The following is a 21,861-nucleotide window of genomic DNA, read 5'->3' on the forward strand; positions in this document are numbered from 1 at the left end:
GTGAATAGCAACAGTTATCTCTATGCTAGCAGTGCCTACATGTAGGGGTACTGCTTAATACGAATTAAAGCGAACATGTGTCGTTGCAGCAAGTAAGCATGTAGTGCCATGTACTCGCCAAACACGTTGCTGCATCTTCAGTAGATTTCAAATGCAAAATGCAGCTCTTGCCATCAAAATAACTCATGAGAGATAGGTGAAGAGAAAAATTAGCATATATTTTAACACTAAAATAATTTTGGATGGATTACAAAATAGAAGTAAAAAGTGAAATCATGAACTGGAAGAAAATTAAGACTAAAAAGTATCTTGGAATTGGGAAAACTTTCTAAACAAAGCATCAAAGTCAGATGCCATTAAGGAAAAGGTGAATACGTTTCAATTCTACATAAAAAACGTTAACACTTCTTCAGGAAAAAAAATAACATAAAGCCACGCTTGGAAAATTTGTACAATGCAAAAGACACAGGACCTGTATGTAAATATATAAAGGTACGTAAATATATAAAGGAATCTCTACCAATCGATATTCTAGAAGGACAGTGACCCAGTAGGGTAATCAGCAGAGTATGTGAAGAGACAGAGGACATACAAAAGGCTTAGAAACAGAAGCTAATGTACAGACTCATTTATATTAAAAAATACAAATTAAAACAGTGCTATGGGATTGTTTGCTTATATAACTCACGAAAATTAAAACAGGAGGATATTTTCCACTGTTGGTGTGACTAAATTAATGTAACTTTTTTTGGATGCCAAGGTGATCAATTGTGAACAAATGAAAAATAAAATGAATGCATTCTTTGACTCAGTGGTTACTTTATAATGCATTTATCCTACAGATATTCTCATAGGGATACACAAATACATGTATGCACACATATAGGCACACATACACACATGCTGGTGTTCATTGGAGGCACTGATGATTCTAGCTAATAACTGGAAACAACAGTCAATAATCCACTCAATAAATTCAGATTGATCTATACAATGAAATGCTGCACAGATGTGAAAACAGGTGAAGTAGCTATATGTTCATGTGAAAATAATTCCAAAGTATGTATATTTTCCAAGCAATATTTTAATATTCTAGAGAGAAAAACAAGGTATAGAAAAAAATTGCATTGTAAGCTGCTGTGTGCTTTAGTAACAAACTAAAAATAGAATATGCATAGTGACTTCACACATGGCCATTTTCTGTAAGGGCACATAAGGAACAGTGCATGTCAGCCCCGGGAATGGGCACTGGATGTTCAGGCAGAGGGAGACTCACTTTTCACCGCATATTTTTTACACTGTCTTTTAATTTTTAGCCTGTAGATGCATTATTTCACACGACAACACAACATTTCTAAAATAATGAATAGATGTGAAACAAAGGCCAACAAAAGGTTAAACTGTGGCTAATTCAGTCCCCTGAACACCGGGAGGAAGGAAGGCTGAGTGGGCCCAGGGGACTGAAGAAGGGTCCATTTCAGAAGCCAAACTTGATCAGGGATTTGAAAGAACACGAGGCAGGAGTGGGAGAAGCTGGGCAGCCCAGGTGGGGATGAGCAGGGACAATGAGAGGCACGGGCTTAAGGGGTGAGACCCTGAGTGTCCCTGGGGTAGCACAGGAGCCCCGGTAGTGGGAAGCCTGCTTGGCCCAGTGGGGAGAGTGCAAGTCAAAGAGGGAAGTAAAGAAAAGTCTCCCAGGGGGAGTGGTGAGGCAGTGAGGCTATTTCCAGGATTGCTCTGTGTACTAGTCAGGGTTCTCTAGAGGGACAGAACTAATAGGATAGATTTATGTATAAAGGGGAGTTTATTAAGGAGAATTGACTCACACGATCACAAGATGAGGTCCCACAGCAGGTCATCTGCAAGCTGAGGAGCACGGAAGCCACGGGAGAAAGATGGAGGCCAAAAGACTAAGCCAGTCTAGTCTTTCCATGTTCTTCTGCCTGCTTTTATTCCAGCCATGCTGGCAGCTGATTAGATGGTGCCCACCCAGATTGAGGGTGGGTCTGCCTCTCCCAGCCCACTGACTCAAATGTGAATCTCCTTTGGCAACACCCTCACAGTCACACCAGGAACAATACTTTGCATCCTTCAATTTCATCAAGCTGACAGTCAATATTAACCATCACACTCCGGGAGCTGAGAAGAGAATGGAGTGGCTTGGTGGGTCCTGGCTACAGCTACAAGACTGATGCCTGATTAAAGCACCGGGAAGGTGGCAGAACGGAGAGAGAGCGAAAGACAAACCCAAGGGTCATTCCAGAGGCAGATGATGGGAAGGCGAGGACTCGGATTCCCAATGGACTCCAGGGAGCCCAGGAACAGAGGGACCATGGACACAGGGACTGAGGCCTTGGGAGAACCAGGTCCAGAGACAAGACGAGGAAATGACGTCAGATGCGTCGGAGCGGGGCTGGAAGCGGACAGCAGTACTGAGGAAACGCAGCTCTGCGGCAGGAGTTGGAGGAAGCGTGGGTGCTCTCATCTAGAGAGAAAAAAGAAAGTCTCAGCACCCCAGGAGTTGCCCCCAGAAGTCACCCAGGGGAGAGAAATCATAATTTTCCCCATGCCCCTCCAGAGAGGTGACTGGAACCAGGGGGTGGAGAGAGGCCGGAGCGCACGCTCACCCCAGCGTTGAGCTCCAGGCTCCTGGGTAAACTGGGACGGACTGCTGCAAAGGAAATGTCAGCTCCCAGGGGACGGAAGGGGCAGGGGAGGAAGTACGTCTGTGGTTCCTTCTTGACCTGGGCTCCTGTGAGCCTGAGGGAAGGCGGGGCTGACAGAACAGTTTGGAGTCACTCAGCAGAGGTGACGAGAAGCACCTGGAGAGTAGCTGGGTCCCTCAGGTGTGGGGAGCCCAGAGCCAGCCTGTCACCCCCTCAGCTCCTGCAGGCCTCGAGGAGCTAAAATATATCTTTCATGAGCTCTGTGTATAGCTAGAACCCGACTTTTCCCTTCCGCGTGCAGACCCATATCCACCGTAACTAATACAATGGGATTTCAGATGGGAAATCTGTCCTAAGAGAAGGAAGAACAAGAGACGAGTGAAATCAAAATGCAGTTTAAGGGATTGGAACAAGACTCTTATATACTGGCTGAAAACTCACCTCCTAAAATTATAGTCATTGGATATGAGAGCTGAGAGGGAACTTACAAATCTTTTATTGAGAGGCAGTGGAGTGTAGAGTTTAAAAGCGTGGCTTCGAACCCCATCAGCAAGCTACTTAACCTCCTTCCGTCTTTGTTTCCTGATCAGTTAGGTGGGGAGAAGAGCATTACCTACCTCGAAGGATTGTCCTGATGATTTAACAAGCTGCTATTTGTAATGTGCTTAGAACTATGACTAGCAGAAATTAGGAGCTGTAGAAATATTGCTTACATTAACACTCTTTTCCATCAGTCCTTTCACAGATGAGAAAATGGCAGAGGTGTGCGGTAAACTAGTTTCTTCACATTTATTCAGCGAGCTAATGACCTGCCTGGTCCTGGAACCCTGGGCTCCAGATTCTTCCCTTGTAGGGAAAAACAAGCCTCCATGAAGCAGGACCCCCACCCCATCCCGCCTGGAGCCATCACTGCCTGGCCTCGTGCTAACATCTCTTTCTTCAGAAATTCCACCAGACTAAACAGAGGAAGCTGCCCTGTCTCTAAGTCTAGCCTGCTGTGGCTGCTGAGAGTACTTGCAGCCTACATGCATCTCCAAACTGGCCCCCACTGCTGGGATTTGGAGACTGTTTTGGCAAAAAGTAAGAGGCCAGAAAGTCAAGTTATCTCTAACCTCTCCTCCAGAGAGTAGAATACCCCCAGTGTAGTCCCCAGTGACTGCATCCTATTCCATCAAAGCCGGGTATCACAGCTCACTTAACCTTTCCCTATTGTTAAGCAATTTGCTTTATTCCAAGTTTTGCTCTCATAAGTAATGCTGGGATAAATATTTTTGGTTTATTGACTTTTATTGCAGTTCTAATGATGTCTTTGGGGAGTACAATTTTGATGTCAAAAGGTAAACACATTTTTTAAATTCCTGGTGCATTTTCCCACGTGGCCTTCCATAAGATTTGTATCTTTTTACATTCCCATGGCAGGGGATGCTGTCTCACAGACTCTTCTCAGCAAGCAAACATTATATTTTCTACAAACGTTTGTTAATTTTGATGATTGGAAAGTATATCCTGTTATTTTTAAGTCAGTAGAATTCCAGCAGTTTTCTTCCCATCAAATACCATTTAACTTTCCATTTTGGAAGGAAGGAAGGGAGGGAGGGAGGGAGGAAGGGAAGGAAGGAAGGAAGGAAGGGAGGGAGGGAGGGAGGAGGGAGGGAGGGAGGGAGGGAAGGAAGGAAGGAAGAAAAGGAAAGGAAGGAGAGAGGTAGAAGAAACAGATAATATATCTCCTATTCAACTCCTTCATGGGCTTGTTGCGACAATAAAATGAGATAATATATTTCAAATGTTAAAGAGTGCTACATAAATGTCAAGTAGGAAAAAAATGAATTCCACAGTACTGACTTCCAGTGAGCACTTATGAATCCTATTAATTAAAAAGGCTTAGACAACTTCATGACATTTAACTGCACTATAGATAATTCACGTATATGGTCCTTGAGAATCTGAGCTGTTCTGGGAAATATGATAAAAATGCATGATATCTGCCAGGAAGATTGCAGTCTTTTGAGAGAAACTACTTTAAACCAAAAGCATGCTTTGTCCGGGTCTTAGAGAGCAGGCAGGGTGAGATGCGCTTTGCAGATCACACACCAGCTCGGCCATTTCCTGATGCTCAGACGAGGACTTTTCTTCAAGGAATGGGGCTGACTTTCATTACATTGCACTTCCCTGTTCTCAGGGAACACAACTGGATCTGCAGCAGATAGCTCCTCACATTTAGGAAACAGAATCGGCTTTTTAAATGTTTTGTTGATGCTGTAAATAATCGTGCTGATGTTGCTGCTTTAACCCTGCCAATCCCCTGGCTGGCTTTGTCACTCCCATCAGGTGCCCAAACATCTCCAGCAAAGCAGCTTTCTCCCATCACCCAACTTAAAACCTCAACCTGTCCCTGTTGTACTCCTATCCCCTCACGAACTTGACTTGTCTGTGGTATTTACACCACCTGATATCTTATGCATTTTTTTTCAGCTAATTGCAACTTTACTGATTTTAAAAGCATGTAGATATCTTTGAATTAAAAGAAACAAAACAATTTTTACAATTTTGAAATTCTAAGCACATTATGTACTTTTTTTTTTTTTTTTTTTTTTGAGACGGAGTCTCCATTGCCCAGGCTGGAGTGGTGTGACCTCGGCTCACTGCAACCTCCACCTTCCAGGTTCAAGCAATTTTTCTGTCTCAGCCTTCTGAGTAGCTGGGATTACAAGCACCCACTATCACAACCGGCTAATTTTTGTATTTTTAGTAGAGATGGGGTTTCACCTTGTTGGCCAGTCTGGCCTCAAACTCCTGACCTCAAATTCAAATGATCCACCTGCCTTGGCCTCCCAAAGTGCTAGGATTACAGGCATAAGCCACCATGCCCAACCTAAGATATGCTGTTATTATAGCATTGCAACTTCTTAGTGTTACAAAATCTGTACATTTAAACACATTAAATGAACCATTTATGCAGCCAACAAACATATTTTAAAAAGCTCATCATCACTGGTCATTAGAGAAATGCAAATCAAAACCACAAAGAGATACCATTTCATACCAGTCAGAATGGCAATTATTAAAAAGTCAGGAAACAACAGATGCTGGTGAAGCTGTGGAGAAACAGGAACACTTTTACACTGTTGGGAGTGTATATTAGTTCAACCATTGTGGAAGACAGTGTGGCAATTCCTCAAGGATCTAGAACCAGAAATACCATTTGGCCCAGCAATGCCCTTACTGGGTATATACCCAAAGGATTATAAATCATTCTACTATAAAGACACATTTATTTGTTTATTGCCTGTCTCTGTCCTTCAGAACGAAAGCTGTGCGAGGACAGAGACTTTGTCCACATTAGTTTAGGTTCTGTGTGTTCCCAGCAGTTGCTAGACTGACTGTCTATTAGAAAATGCTCAGCAAAAGCATAAGTAAGACTGTAACTACGGGATGAAAGTTCTTCTAAAAGTCCACAGAGAATGGCGGAAAGAGTAAGGGTCTACCATCAGAAGGAGGAATTCCGGTCTCTGCTCCTTATTAACTGGGACCTTCAGTAGAGTCATACAACTTCTGCTTTCTCTGAAAAGTGATATAAAATCTTGTGACTTTATAGCTGGGAAAAACTGAAATGATTTATAAAGGAGCCATTAGTGAACAACAAAGAGCTCCACAAATGTAACACTATACACACTTGGGATTCTGTCTCTCAGTTTTTGGTTTTTTTTGTTTTTTGATAGAACCATCAGTAGAGACTGGCTCTGCATCACCTGAGGCATCACAGAGCACTGGTGGAGCCCTTTCCTGGCTCCAGAGTCAGACAGACATGAGATGGATTCCAGGACCCACGGGTAATTAGCCACATGACCTGGGGCTGGTTACGCAACATCAGTGTAGCAGCTGATGCTTGGTTTGATGTGAACAATATGCACAATGAGGTGTATGAAACTCGTAGCAGATGCTTAGTGGTCATCTTTTCCTTGACTAGAATGTTTACTATTTCCAAGGGAGATGCATTCTCCATTGGAAAAGTATTTGGTTTTTAACCACAAAAAGAAAGAGGCCTCTTTCAAAGTTTTAATTCATAAGACAGTGTCACTTATGTCAGGTGATGGGGAAAATGCTTAAGGTGATGCTCTCTAGTGGCAAAAATACAGTCCTTAACTGCCCATTTTTGTCTACTAATAAAATTAAATAATAAACCACCATTGCTCTTGACCTTGGGGGAGAACATTTACCATCAGCATGCTTAAAGTCGAGTAAATCTGCTCTGCATTGGGACAGTCCCTCCTGTGGAAAGTCATGTTTATGTTTATCTAATGTCGTCTCCTGCAGCTGGGAAGTCTTGGTTTTCCAACTTTCAAGATAACCAGCAGTGAATATTAATAGGTGTGCTTCTCTTTGAAGCCAGAAAATGCATAAAATTCTGGATGTTCTCAACAAGACAGCAGAAAGGAGAAGGAGATTGACCTCAACTTGGAGCTTTTCCTGGCCAGGGCTGAGATGGCTCTTTTTCATTATAATATCTAATTTTATCCTCACAAAAGACCTTTGAGAAAAATGATGACATTTCTGATTTATAAATGAGAAAATGAAGTCTCATGGAAATTAAATAACTTGTCCACAATCACACAGCTAAAAGGGCCCCAATCCGAATCTCAGTCAAGTCTGATTGACACTTCAAGTCAATGTTCCACATTTGTACCTCAATAAATATTTGAGAAATATTTATTGAGCTCCTTTGCAAAAGTCATTGTGGTGTTTAGCCATTACTTTTAATAGCAAAACCACCACAATGACTTTTGCACCAACCTGGTATATACCAGGCATTGTTCCAAACACTGAAATGACAGTAATGAGCAAAACAAAGTCCATGCCTTCATGGAGTGCAGACTCCAGTTCAGGAGTAGAAATCAACACAGGCATATTACAGATATAGATAAGGTTGTTGATATGCACGTGGGTACAGGCAGAGCTATGCATATAGATAGAGATACAAGTGTAATCAGAGACACAGATGCAGTTATGATGATGGATGTGATACAGACATAGACATGGCCATGGACATAGACATAGACAGAGGTAGGTATTAATAGTAAGGAGGTAGAGCCAAGGGGAGGAGAACGATGCAAGGCACTATCTGGGACTGAGTAGTAGAGAAGGCCCCTTGTAAGAGCAATGCTGAATAGAGACCTGAACCAAGGCCTGAATGAAGCCCTAAGCATGATGAACAGGTGGGTGAGTTGATTTTAATTAAGTTTAGTAGGGATGGTATTGGGTGCTGCTCAAAGAATAGACTGTAGGGGGCGGTAGAGCATTGTGTCAGCAGGAAGATCAGGGAGGAAATGACTCAGTTGATTCTCATGGGAGATGAAGGACTGGACTAAGGAAGTGATAGAAATGGTCACTCCTTAGTCATCATAGAAGTCACTTCGATTTCCCTAGGGAACATAAAGTGAAGTCTTTTTACAAAAGACTGATTTACTTGAAGGTTTTGAGGGAACCAATGCATTATGGAACACATTATATACCAATACCATGCTTTCCCAAGTTATTAGAATAGTAACAGAATGGCATAAAACAGCATATCTTGTGTTATGATCCTGTTAAAAATTATAAGGCATTTAAGACTATAAGTGACTTCCACTCATCATGGCAAATTAAAGTCATGGCCCACTAGAAATGGGCTCTTGGTCCTCCTCATGTCTGACCTTCTTATTTTGCAAATAAAAAACTAAAGTCCAGAGATGAATAACTTGTCAGAGGTCACAAACTCAGTTAGAAGTGGTACCTACATCTGCTTGTAGCCAGAAGTTCCTTCATTCATTACTTTGCATGTATGCACATAGAAGAGGAAGAATTAATAATTTTTAAAATTAATAAAATGACCACAGTTCCACCCAAAGTTCACCTTATAAATGTATCTCCAAATTCCCTAACCCTAACCCTTATTTTTAATGCAAGCTCTCTTCAGGTAGAAATAGTCTAGAGACACTAGTGAGGACATTTGGAGGCATGAGGAAAACTCTTCAATCGTTAGTTATTACAACAGGACCTACTGAAAAAAAATTATGGCTTAAAATAATTACACATTTATTGATGGATATTTTCTTAATTACAGCTTCAGAATGGAGAACTTGAGTGTTTGGATTTTTTTTTCTTCAATTAAAACACAGAAAATAATGTTTTCAATCTCAAAGATGAGCATAAATGCATTAGGTTTGGAAAAGCTTACAGACCAGGTTCAGCCAAAAGTGAAATTTGATAGCTCCCTTGAATGCCTTCTTATTTGAGAGAAATGGGACACACCCTCAATTATGGCAAAATAAGCACAACCATTAATGTCATGCATGTTAATAAAAATTTTGGAGACTCCACAGAAAAGTTTATGATGTGTTTTCTAAACCACAGTATTTTGGCGATTGCTCAATAATTACAAGAGCCTGGGCCTTGCAGGACCCATTAGCTGTATCCAACATAAGCAGTGCATCCAGAGTTCTACAATGACGAGGGGGTAGGGAGGTTTTAAGAGCAAATAAACAAGGACACATAAAATCCCCAGAATGTCTCTTAAAGCCAAATTTCAAATCATTACCTCACATGGAAGAAAACATATGCATCCATATATATGTACCTAAAAAAATGTGTGTGTATGTACATATCATTTACTGCATCAGATATGCTGAGACCATACTGCATTATAAAGAGCACTAGAAAAAGAACTGCAGAACTTCTATTCTCGCGTGCATCTGCTACTAACAAATTACATGACCCTAGGCAGGGCAGGCCTCTCTGTGGGCCTCATTTTTCACCACTATTAAAGAAAGAGATTGCGTTCCATGATCACTAAGGTTTTCCTTTGAATATTTTTCTGACCCTGGGGGCTGTATTTAGAATTCTTGAAGCAAGAAATTAGCCACTTTTAAAGATTTGCTACTTTGACCTAGAAGTGTTCCCTGTTTTGTCCTTTGTTTTCCCATTAGAGAAGAGATTTAAATAAAAATGAAAGGAACTACTGTTGTTTTTCCAGACACAGTTTGTGTGTAATGAGGGAAGTGATTATCTCGGCAAAAGCACAGTTCCCTCATAAAGGTTCAAAATTAGCGCTTTTCCTCCCTCTAGTGGAAATGTAATGTATTTGATCTAAATTGAATTGGTTTCAGTATTTATCAAATTTTTAAAAAAAGAGAGAAAAAGAGTTGGCATATCTAAAACATAATCAGGGATTGAACCAAATGCAATTTGTTACAGGTTTTCCACACAAATGTCTTAAATATTTTACTTGTTTAAATAAATTCAAAATTAACAATGAAAAGCTGCAAAGTAGATTTAGATCAATTGAAGTTCTCCAAATGAAATAGACAAGTCCAGGCTGGGTGCGGTGGCTAACGCCTGAAATCCCAGCACTTTGGGAGGCCGAGGAGGGCGGATCACGAAGTCAAGAGATCAAAACCATCTTGGCCAACATAGTGATAATCCCATCTCTACTAAAAATACAAAAATTAGTCTGGCATGGTACCATGTGCCTGTAGTCCCAGCTACTCAAAAGGCTGAGGCAGGATAATCGCTTGAACCCGAGAGGCGGAGGTTGCAGTGAGCCAATATCGCACCACTGCACTCCAGCCTGGCGACAGAGCAAGATTCAGTCTAAAAAAAAAAAAGAAATACACAAGTCCACATTAGATGCTTGGTATTTAATTTATGCCCACATGCATCTGAAAATCAGTCCACGTATAAAAATTACTAGGTCAAAGCATGTCACTGAATAGGACAAGAAACACAGCACTAACAACATTAATAAGAAAGAAATGTTTACTCCATTGTAATTCGATCTAACATGTATGGTATCTGTTTTACATGAGGGTTTTCTGATTCCCTCTCTCTGAAACCTTTGTTAACTCCCTCAGGCAAAGTAAATCAGAATCAGACCAGGTTTGTCTGACCCACCTGTGCCAGGGTGGGCAGGACCACAGTGATGATCACCAGGTGTGTATGTCTGCCTCTCTATTGAGGGAGACTCTTCTTCTAATTATTTTTCTCTCCTTACAGTTGTAGAGCAACAGAGAGACATGGCGAATTGGAGAAATTGTGACTCCAAAGGTATTCCCATTCCATTGTCTAATAATCTGAACAGTTGTTTGTTTGTTGTAAGTAAAATCAAATAGCACCATGCTGGCTGAATTCAGTCTGCAAGCCACACCAAGGACAGCCTTGCTTAGCCCTGGAAGGCAGAGATTTTCCATGGAAGAGTTGTAACAAGATGTGTGCTTTAAAGCATGAAAAGAGTGAAAATGCAAAACCACACCTAAAAGGTTCTTAAAAATATCAAACATTCGACTGGGCACAGTGGCTCACACCCGTAATCCCAGCACTTTGGGAGGCCGAGGTGGGTGGATCACAAGGTCGGGAGTTTGAGACCAGCCTGACCAACATGGTGAAACCCCATCTCTACTGAAAATACACAAAAAATTAGCCAGGCATGGTGGCGTATGCCTGTAATCTCAGCTACTCGGGAGGCTGAGGCAGGAGAATGGCTTGAACCCGGGAGGCAGAGGTGGTTGCAGTGAGCCGAGATCATGCTACTGCACTCCAGCCTGGATGACAGAGTGAGACTCTGTCTCAAAAAAAAAAAAAAAAAAAGAGTGATTAGGTTACATACACAGATTAAGGAGGTTAGAGGTGTCTGCTGCAATAATCCAGAGGAAGTCTTCACTGGATGAGACAGAATGCTGTACACAAAGTGTTTAGTCTTCCCATGCATCGTGAGCAGTTGCCAAGGCACCAGAAAACCATGTCACCTGGAAGATGCAAATAAAATAAATAAACAAAGCCCCACCTTAGAGAAGATTGAAAGTTTGCAGGAATCACTGTAAGTGAAGCAATAATTAATAGTGGCAGAAAAATACGTACAGATATTGCATCCAAGAAAAAAATATTTTCAAAGAACCTTAAATAATGAGAAAAGAAAGATGAAAAAAAGGAAGGAGGAAAAGAAGAAATGCAGGGAGAGAATGCAGAGGAGGAGTAAATGGAGGAGGGAAGAAAAGAAAGAGTAAAGAAGGGAGGAAGGAAGAGAGGAAAAAAGAAAAGGAAGACAGAAAGGAAAGAAGAAAAGGGGGGAAAGGAGGGGCTTTGGAATTTAGAAACTTGATAGCAGAAATGAAAATCTTAGTAGAAGATTTAAACACAAAGTTAAAGAAATCTTACAAAATAAAGATATAAAAAGTCACATATGAGGGAAAGATAGGGTGGTTTTGCTTGTTTAAAATACTACACTAGGGACTTTTGTGTCTTGACAAGATGGAGTAATAGAAAGCTTTATCCCCCAACATGAAGAAACCAAATAATCAGACAAGGTTATGAAACAATAGTAACAACTGAAAATGTCCCTGTGACCAGAGAGAAATGAGGTGAGCCCTACAAGTGCCTGAGCACACTGACTTCTGGGAGTTTGCAGACTGAAAGATTAAACAGGAAGAATCCAACAGTCTCCCTGAGTAGAGGGATAGAGCTGGGAGTCCCAGGAGACCAAGGCAGTTGGAGCTAGAGATGCACAGAGAGAATGTTTGAGTTCTATAGAGAGTCTTCCTTGATCATTGAACCGTGAGAGTGAGAAATGCTACCTAAGGCCAGGTGAAGAAAATTCCAAAAAGATTAGAGGAACTAGAACCCAGGGTCAGGGTCAGACACTGCCTGGTGTCTGTTCTTACTAGCCAGACTATACAACTTTATAGTCCATTAGGTTGATCCATTGCAATTGAGCACTACAAAAGATTAGTGAACTTGAACACACAGCAATAGAAACTACCCAGAAAAAAACACAGGGCAAAAAAGACTGCAAAAAAATAAATAAAAGACCATCGGTGAGTTGTGGGGCAGCTTCAGTCAACTAATACATATGTAATTAGAATCCCCAGGGAGAAAAGAGAGAAGTGACAGAAAAACTATTTGAGCTTTTTTCTTTTTCAAAATTTAATGTAAACTATAAATCCACAGATCAAACACAGATTCAAGCACATGAATAACTGTACACCAAAGCACATCATAATCAAATGATTCAAACCAGAGGAAAAGAAAAAAAGCAGCCCAGAAATGATACAGGTTACATAGAGAGTAACAACCAGAAGGGGACAGCAGATTTCCCATCAGAGATAATGCAAGTGGGAAGACATTGGAGCAACATTGTTAAAGTACTAAAAGAAATAAACAAACAAACTCTGCAACCTAGAATGCTACACGAAGGGAAAATCTCTCTCAAAAACTAAGGTAAAATATAGACTTTTCTACATATACAAGAGCTGAAAGAATTCATCACCCACCAGCAGACTCACCGTAAGAAATGTTAAAGAAAGTCATTCAGAAGAAGAAAAAATATTAGACGGAAATAGAGATTTACACAAAAACATGAAAAACAACAGAAAGTGTTGCACACGGTGCCCAGAGCAGTTTATTTGCAACAGGTAAAATCTGGGACCAACCCAGGTTAAGGACAACATGTCCAGAAGATGAAATACTACTCAACAAAATTAAAAAAGAAATATAGAGGATGGAATAAATCATTGATCCACAAACCAACATGTATGAATCTCAAAATAATTTTGCTGCTAATTGAAGAAAGTCTAATAAAAATGGCACAAACTGTATGATTCCATTTATCTAAAATTCTAGAAAATAAAAACTAATTTTCTGTACAGTTAGACCTGTGTTTTCCTGGGAATAAAAAGGTCAGGGAGGAGGGCAGAAGGGTGGGATTGCAAAAAGACCCAAGGACATTTCTAGAGGTAATATTACAGTTTGCTGTCTCTACTGTGGTGATGGTTTCATGAGATTATACATATGTCAAAATTAATTAACTTGTACATTTTAAATGTGTGTACTTTTCTGCAAGCTATTCATACCTCGATAAAGCTGCTAAAGATGGCATTTCTAATTTTCCATGCTGTTGTAGAAAATAGGGAAAATTTTTAAGATGTTAAAAAAGTCACAGATTATCACTGAGAAAAAATGTATTTTTGATAATTTACATCTTCTTAGGTGCTCAGCATTCTGCTTAGCATTATATTAAAAGGATTTATCTCAATGTATTTAACCAGTGTGTATTACAAATAAACACATTATACACATACATAAATATATTCTGATTATTTAAAGATAATAGTTATAATAAAACCTTTTTATGTGTACCACTGATTATTTTCTTGGTGTATGTTCCAAAATGATCCACGTGTCCAAACACTTTTAAGATACTATATAATTGCTCCTAGAAAAGAGATTTTACAGAGAGAAGGATCAGCACAAAAGGAGATTAGTCTAGTCTAAGAAAAAAATAAACAAAACCAGGCATGTACCACTGAGGAAGGAAGACAATGGAGAAGTGCTATGTCTGCTTCACAGCTGTTTCCCTGAGTGGGTAGACTGTTTGAGATAGAACACCAGGCACTTTCATTCCCAGGCCTATTCTATTAATACTTTTGCATACGTGAAGACTGACTGAGCCTCCTACTTACTAATAGAAGTGCTTGCTGTGCTTAGGGAAAATTTATTTTAACTTAAAGGACATTGCAGTAATCTGCTCAGGCTGCCATAAGAAAATACCACAGGCTAGTGGCTTAAACAGAAATTTCTCACGAGGTGGGCATGGTGGCTCACAACTGCCATCCCAGCAACTCAGGATCCTGAGGTGGGAGGATTGCTTAAGCCCAGGAGTTTGAGGCTGCAGTGAGCTATTTCAGCCTGGGAAATAGAGAACCATCCCAATAAGAAGAAAGAAAAGAAAAAGAGAGAGAAAGAAAGAGAGGGAGGGAGAAAGAAACAGAAAGAAAGAGAAAGGAAGAAAGAGAAAAGAAGGAAAGGAAAGGGGAAAGGAAAACAGAAAGGGAAGGGAAAGGGAAAGGGAAAGAGAAAGAGAAAGAGAAAGAGAAAGAGAAAGAGAAAGAGAAAGAGAGAAAGGGAAAGAGAAAGAGAAAGAGAAAGAGAAAGAGAAAGAGAAAGAATTTATTTCTCACATTTCTGGATGCTAGGAAGTCCAAGATCAAGGTGCCAGCCAGGTAGGATTCATTTTAAGCCCTCTTTTCTTGGCTCATGGGAGGCCACCATCTCACAATGTGCCCATATAACCTCTTCTTTATGCAGACGCAAGGAGGCAAGGGCAGGGAGGGGAAGAGAGAGAGTGCACGCATGGAAGGGAGAGAACACTTTTGTGTCTGTTCTTATAAAGACACAAATCCTATTGGATCAGGACCCAACCCTTGTGACCTCAGTAATCTTAATTACTTCCTTAGAGGTCCATCTCCAAATGCAGCCACTCTAGGGGATAGGAATTCAACATAAGAATTTGGAGGTGGGGGGACACAAACATTCAGTCCATAACAAACATTCAACTGTTTGAGTAATTCAGAGTGGGGCTCAAAATGTAAAACATTTTGATGAATCACGTTAATTGTCATGTTGATAATGTGCCACATCATACATTTTAATGTAGCATTATTTGTGATTAATTCTCTTACCTTTGTTTTTTTTTTAAATGTCAGTACTTCACCTTATTTCGCACATTTTTACTGTACATAGAATTCTATGTTGGTATATTTTTCTTTCAGTACTTTAAAGATCTTGTTGCACTCTCTTGCCCATAGTTTCTAATATAAAGTCAGCAATAACTTACATCTTTGTTTTCATATAAATATTTATAATGTATTTTTTCTTCAGCTGCTTTCAAGATTTTATCTTTGGTTTAAGTGTTTAGATGAGTGCATTAATTTTCTAGTTATGCTGTGACAGAATACTCAAAACTGGGCCGCTTTAAACAACAGAGATTTATTTTTTCACAGTTCCAAAAACTAGAAGTCCAAAATCAAGGTGTCTTCCCTCTGAGACTCTGAATAGAATCCTTCCTTACCTCTTCCATCTTTTGGTAGTGATGATCATATTTTGGTGTTCCTGGCTTTCAGCTGCATCAGTCCAATCTCTACCTCTATCATCACATGACATTGTGTCTCATGTCTCTGTCTCATCTTCCCTTCTTATTATGAAGACACTAGTCATAATGGATTAAGGTTCACTCTAATCCAATATGATGTCATCTTAACTTGATTACATCTGCAGCAACCATATTTCCAAATAATGTCACATTCTGAAGTTCCAGAAAGGACATCAGTTTTAGAAGGTCACTGTCCAATACAACTATGATATGCCTAGGCATTGTTTTCTTTGGATTTACAATGATGGGGGTTCACTGAGATGTTTTGAATCTGTAAATTTATGTTTCACTATATTGGAGAAACATTTTGTGAAAACATTTACCCATAAAAGGGGAAATATGGTTCCTTCACATTTAAAAAACATTTCATTCTCATTCTCTTTTCATTCTAGAATTCCAATTAGACGTATGTTAGATCTTTTCATATTGTATCACAAATCTCCAATGCTTTGTTTATATTTTGGAGCAGATAATTTCCACTAATCTATCCTCAAGTATATGGACTCTTCCCTTTGTCAATTCTATTACACCGCTAAAGCCATCCAGTGATGGCTTTTAATTTCAGCTGTTGTAATTTTCAGTTCTATAATTTCCATTTGATACCTTTTTAGAGTTTCCACTTCTCCACGAGCTTTCCTATCTTTTCATTTATGACATGCATATCCTTTACATCCTTGAGCATAATTATAATAGCTGCTTTAAATTTCTTATCTGCTAACTCCAACAACAGGGTCACCTTGGGGTTATTCTCAATTGATCAATTTCCTTCTCTTGATAATGCTTTATATTTTCTTGGTTCCTTGTATGTTTCATAATATTGGATTGTATATTGGATATTGTGTATATTACATGGTGGAGACTCTGGATTCTGTTATAGTCCTCTAAAAAGAATTGAGTTCTAGAGGGCAATTAGCTTCATTTGACAAGAACTGCACACCTTCTTTTGGATGTCAGCTCAAATCTCATACAAATATTTTAACTTTTGGTGAAGTCTATCCTGCACATCTATGATTTGTGAATTAGCCAGAGATTTGGGCAGAGTATATACTCAAAATTTAGGGTTTCCCCCTTTTGGCTATCTTTTTTGCAAGATTGTCCTTCATTTCCCAGTGGTCTCATTTCATAACAGAAAGACCCTTATGTCTTTTCTATCAGGGTTTAGTCACCAAGGTGGAGCTGACATGGGCCTATCATTAGAATAAAAACCTAAGACATTCCTTTCTTCCAAGTTTCAAGTCCACTCTAAAATCTTCCTCTCTTCTTTACATTGCCTGCAGAACATTTTTTTCTCCAGAGTTGACAGTTGTTTTCCACAGGAAGTACAGCTATGATAAGAGCTTACTTAGTCATACCAGGTGCAGAAACAACATGGCATTGAGCAGAAGACACTGTAGCTGAGGAATTACATCTGTTTCTAAATTATATAATGACATATTTGAACCCAGATAAAAGGAGGGAAAAATATGACTCAGAGAACAAATTGCCATGAAGTCAACTTTTCAATCTGAGTTTGTTCATATCTTTTCTGCTTCTGTACAAGTGATTAATGCACTCTATATCTCAAAATTCAGTGGTGAAAATGAATACTGACTTAACATTGGCAAGAATCAAGAAACTCCATTTGGGATCCCATCAGAAAAAGAAAGACATATATTTCAGGGCCTTCTGAAGACCTGGTCTGTTTTCTAAGATAATTTAAACTGTCACTTACAAAGTTGTATATAACAAAAATAAATTTGAAGGATGTCTGCCCATTTCTCAAAGCCAAGCTCCATTCCCTTCCCTATAAATTTTTTTCTAATGTGTGCTTATATCAATATTAACTCATTTCACAACTGCCTATGCCATACCCAATAGTCCTTTGTTATATATTTACTTTTCTATTTGAGAATAATAAAGTTAGAAAGTAAGAGATCAGTTATACAAACTCACCATAAATGAGCACATTAAGTATATGTTAAGATATAACATTATTTTCTCTGAGAGAGAGAGAGAGAGGGACTACCAAATCACCATACCTTGAACAAGATAGAGATGAATGTTCCTTTCCCGTAACAGTTCAAGGTAAGCAGCAAGGGCAGGTGAGCTGACTCTACCATCTCAACCTATAACTTCCCTCTCACAGTCAAAGTGACTTCTTCAATTCTTATTATCTTCCAATGAGCAGAAAGGCAGAAAAGGACTATGGGATCTGAGCACAACCCTCTGTGAGAGCAAAAACAGTCCTGAAGAGGTACATATTTATCTGCTCACACCCCATTGGCTAGACCATACTTCAGTGGCACATATGGTTGCAAGACAGTCCAAGAAATGCAGTCATAATCTAGAAAGTCATGCATCCAGCTAAAATTCTGTCACCAAGAATAAGTGGTAAGTAGATACTGTGGGACAAACAGCATTATGTCACTCTCTAAATACATGAAATTTATGAGGACTAAATCCTGACATATTCTTGACTCCTTAAATTTGCAAATACCTCTCTCCCATATAATATATACCTTAAAATGCACATTGAACAAGAGATAATCACAGAATTGCACTGACATTGTGGTGCTAGGCTCAGCTGGCCCAGCCCTTTCCACAAAGGAGTGGTTAGCTATTTTCCATGTCTGCCTCACAGACTGTGATTTAACTTCATGCTTTGGAAAATGGTGTGTTAGTAGCTGGCCATGTGCCTTCAACTTGCTTAGGAATATTTGAAACTATGTAAGTGGATCAGTGCCTGATCCCAACTGTTCATTGGATCAAATGGAAAACACACACACACACACACACACACACACACATCATTCCTGAACAGTCTGACTTAATGGATCTGTAGCAGGGTCATGGCATCCCTTGTTGTAAAACTTGCACAGGTGATTCTAATGTATAACCAGAGTTGGGAACCACTGAGCTAAGACATTCAAACTCCACGTTGGCTGTGGGAGACATCAAAAAGCATTGGGCATGTCTCCTGGCTTCAAAAATATTTTAAACTGATTCATTGTCCATATCACATAATTCGTACTTTATTATATATTCTAATCCTCTAGTGTAACTTATGTCTAGACTATAACTTTGAGAATTAAACAAGAAACATGAATTGACTGTCATCTTTGTACCTGGCACTTTCAGGGTATGACAACTTTTACATAGGAAAGCGTCAAGGTTCCTTCTCTCAAGGCACCCTAGTCTAGCAGATAGAAAGAAAACTCCACAGGATCTAGTCTGTTAAGCTCTAAGCAATCAATCAATAATTGCATATAATTGATTTCAGTATTTTCTTTAATATGCTTAGTATTTGATATCTCATGGGTTCTTTTTATTTTTTATCTTATTTTATTTGAGATGGAATCTTGCTCTGTTGCCCACGCTGGAGTGCAGTGGCACCATCTCAGCTCACTGCAACCTCCACCTTCCGGGTTCAGGCAATTCTCCTGCCTCAGCCTCCCAAGTATTTGGGACTACAGGTCGAACTCCTGACCTCAAGTGATCCACCCACCTCGGCCCCCCAAAGTGCTGGGATTACAGACGTGAGCCACTACACCCAGCCTCATGGGTTCCTTTTAAATAGTTTTAGTACTGGCTGGGCACAATGGCTCACACCTGTAATCCCAGCACTTTGGGAGGCTGAGGTGGAAGGATTGCTTGAGCCAAGGAGTTCAAGACCAGCCTGGGCAATAAGGTGAAACTCCATCTCTATAGAAAACATAAAAATTAGCCGGGCATGGTGGTGCATGCCTGTAATCCCAGCTAATTGGGAGGCTGAGGCACGAGAATTGCTTGAGCCTGGGAGGTAGAGGTTGCAGTGAGCCGAGATCAGGCTACTGCACTCCAGCCTGGGTGACAGTGAAACTCTGTCTCAAACAACAACAACAACAACAACATTTTAGTCCCATATGTTAGTGAAGGTGTCCTAGGTTCTTGGTGCAAAAAGTAAAAGAATATACATTCAACTCTGTGTGGATCAGAAACCCAAATCAAGAATGGCTTAAACCAGGTAGAAATGTGCTCATCACATGTACAAGGAGGCAGGGCCCAGGGCTGTGGTGGCACTCCACATGGGAGTACCATTCATCTTTTTCTCCATCTCTCTGGTTATAGCATTGAGTATGCAAGGTCCAAACATTATCACAAGGCACACGGGAAAAAGAGGTCCTAGTAGAGAGCTAACCAGGTCCAAAACAAAGACTAGAATCCATTAAAAAGGGATTGTAGCCAACTGAGTTTGCATTTTCACCTAATTTGTCAATGATTCTAATTGAGTCTTTAAGCACTCATAAATTCTCCTCTACCTAACTGGAGGTGTTGATCCAGAAACAGCATGTTTCATTTACAAATGCACAAGCGCCCCTTACTTCAGCCATAAGGACATCAAGAGTTTGTCTATTTTGCATGGCCACTGAGGCCAGAGAATTTATGGACTGCTCTTGGGCTTTTATGGCTCCTACAGTTACCTTTCACCCTTGTTACATCATGATAGAAATATTAAGCACTGATCTTTCAAGAAGGGGAACACCGCCAAGCCAAAATAGGCCTCTGGCTATTGCATATTTTATTCCGTTTTTCTAATATAGGATTGCCATGTGCATATTCTTGCCAGTTCTCTCTCTTTCATTTTAATCTCCATATGATGGCATAGAGATAAGTGATCTCCTGTTTTGGTATGTGTGATGGAATGCACTTTCTGTAAAAGAGCCCAAATTGGCGATGTCACCCAACAATGCTACCCTGTCAGTGGGGTTTAAAAATAACAAATTGGGGACCATTGCCACTATAGTGCATGTTCCTCTCCAGCGCCTGGGGAGGAATAAGCATAGCCTGGAGCCACAGAGAAAGTAAAGCCCTGTTCCCTGAAGGGATGGTTCTATGTTGTGATTTATGAGGGTTCCAGCTAAGTTTAGTCCAGGCCTTATAAGGTTGCCTTCCCTACATCTAATTCAAGCATCTTTAGAATAAGGATATCCATACTTAGTATAGTCATCCACAGTATTGTTTGGAACTTTACATGCTGGGAGGGAAGAATCTGTTTGGCAAATATAGTTTTGAAAGATCAGAGACGCAATATGTTCCAGCCAGTATCTTAGACAACCCTCCTTACAGCGGCTATTGGCCCAGACATCCCCTGTTCATTCACAAATCTGCAGATCACTGTCATTATCAAATATCATACAAGGGTCCAGGATTCCATGTGTGGGCATGTTTGGGAAGGACCATGTGCTATTTATTACCTGATAATAAGGTTGGCGAGGGGTGGCATTTCTGCCCGGGGTAGACATTCCCATTGGGAACTCCACCTGGGAGGTCTGGCTAGATTGTTAAAATTTTTCCACAGTCTCTCCCAATGTTTGGTGTCACCCTTGTTCCTTCTTAGTCTCCAGATCTCTGTGCTCTCAGCAATTACAAGCATACTGTTGCAATTATTTAAGGTTTCCCGAGTATGGTCCTTTTCCTTTACTCTTAAAGCAGAGACAGGCATTGGCTATCATTCTATCAACTTCACCTAGTCTAAGGGTGTGAGTTTTACCATCAGGAGGTGTGTCTTTCTGGGTGGAGTTAAAAATGCTCCCATACCATGTTCCCTTTATACCTATTAGGTCCTTAATGATTTAAGGTAAAGCCATCAGAGGGAAACCCTAAGATAGTGAGTTCTGAATCATCAAAGAGTCCATTGGTGTTATTAAACTGAGTAAATTGTTCAGGGCAAACCCAGTAATCAGTCTTGTTGTAGAGATCGGTAATATCTGATATTGTAGGAGCCAAAGAATGTGAGGCATTGCTACATCTAACAGTGAATGCTAGTAAACTTGATAGTAACAAAATCTTCATGTTTATCTCTTGCCTGTGACTACTATCCCTGCTATATGAATAATAACTAAGCAAAAGATTATGGCAATTGAGACTCTTTTCCCAATATTCCACTTAGAAGGTGCCACAGTATGCAGTCCTACTGCAAAGAGCAAGGTGAGTACAACAATTCCCATATGTGTGAAGTAATAAAGTTCCACTTTAAATCTTACTCACCGAGATATATAATTTCTTCGTGGGGGTGGTTTATGAGGTTATGAATGGAATCCCATGGATAATCAAAATCTCCCTGTAAGTATGTGACAAAGAGAAGTTCTAATATCTAACAGCAAATCTCAAGAGGAAAGGTAGAAATGACTTTAGTATCTGGTAAGGAAGGGTGGGATTGAACTGAACAGAGAGTTCCCACTCATTTACTTATCTTTTGGATTTTCAGTTTGAAATCCCCAG

At 40.0% G+C, this 21,861-nt stretch overlaps 1 long non-coding RNA gene across 1 annotated transcript, besides 1 other annotated feature; it reads right to left on the reverse strand.

Moving 5' to 3' along the window:
* Nucleotides 7,735-8,029: an enhancer, noted in NCBI's record as "tiled region #11536; K562 Activating non-DNase unmatched - State 5:Enh". NCBI's record gives its function as "activates a minimal TATA promoter and a strong SV40 promoter by Sharpr-MPRA in K562 cells {active_cell/tissue: K562}" and the evidence as "EXISTENCE:reporter gene assay evidence [ECO:0000049][PMID:27701403]".
* On the reverse strand, nucleotides 9,891-21,801 carry NRIR (negative regulator of interferon response). The gene is made up of 4 exons (NR_126359.1): nucleotides 21,628-21,801; nucleotides 14,651-14,767; nucleotides 11,305-11,443; nucleotides 9,891-10,292 (listed from the first exon to the last, which is right to left on the reverse strand). It is a non-coding gene; the product is annotated as a negative regulator of interferon response (long non-coding RNA).
* Between the last annotated feature and the right edge of the window lie 60 nt (nucleotides 21,802-21,861).

This window comes from Homo sapiens, chromosome 2 (genome assembly GCF_000001405.40).
Source record: "Homo sapiens chromosome 2, GRCh38.p14 Primary Assembly".
In the NCBI taxonomy this organism is placed as follows: Eukaryota; Metazoa; Chordata; class Mammalia; order Primates; family Hominidae; genus Homo; species Homo sapiens.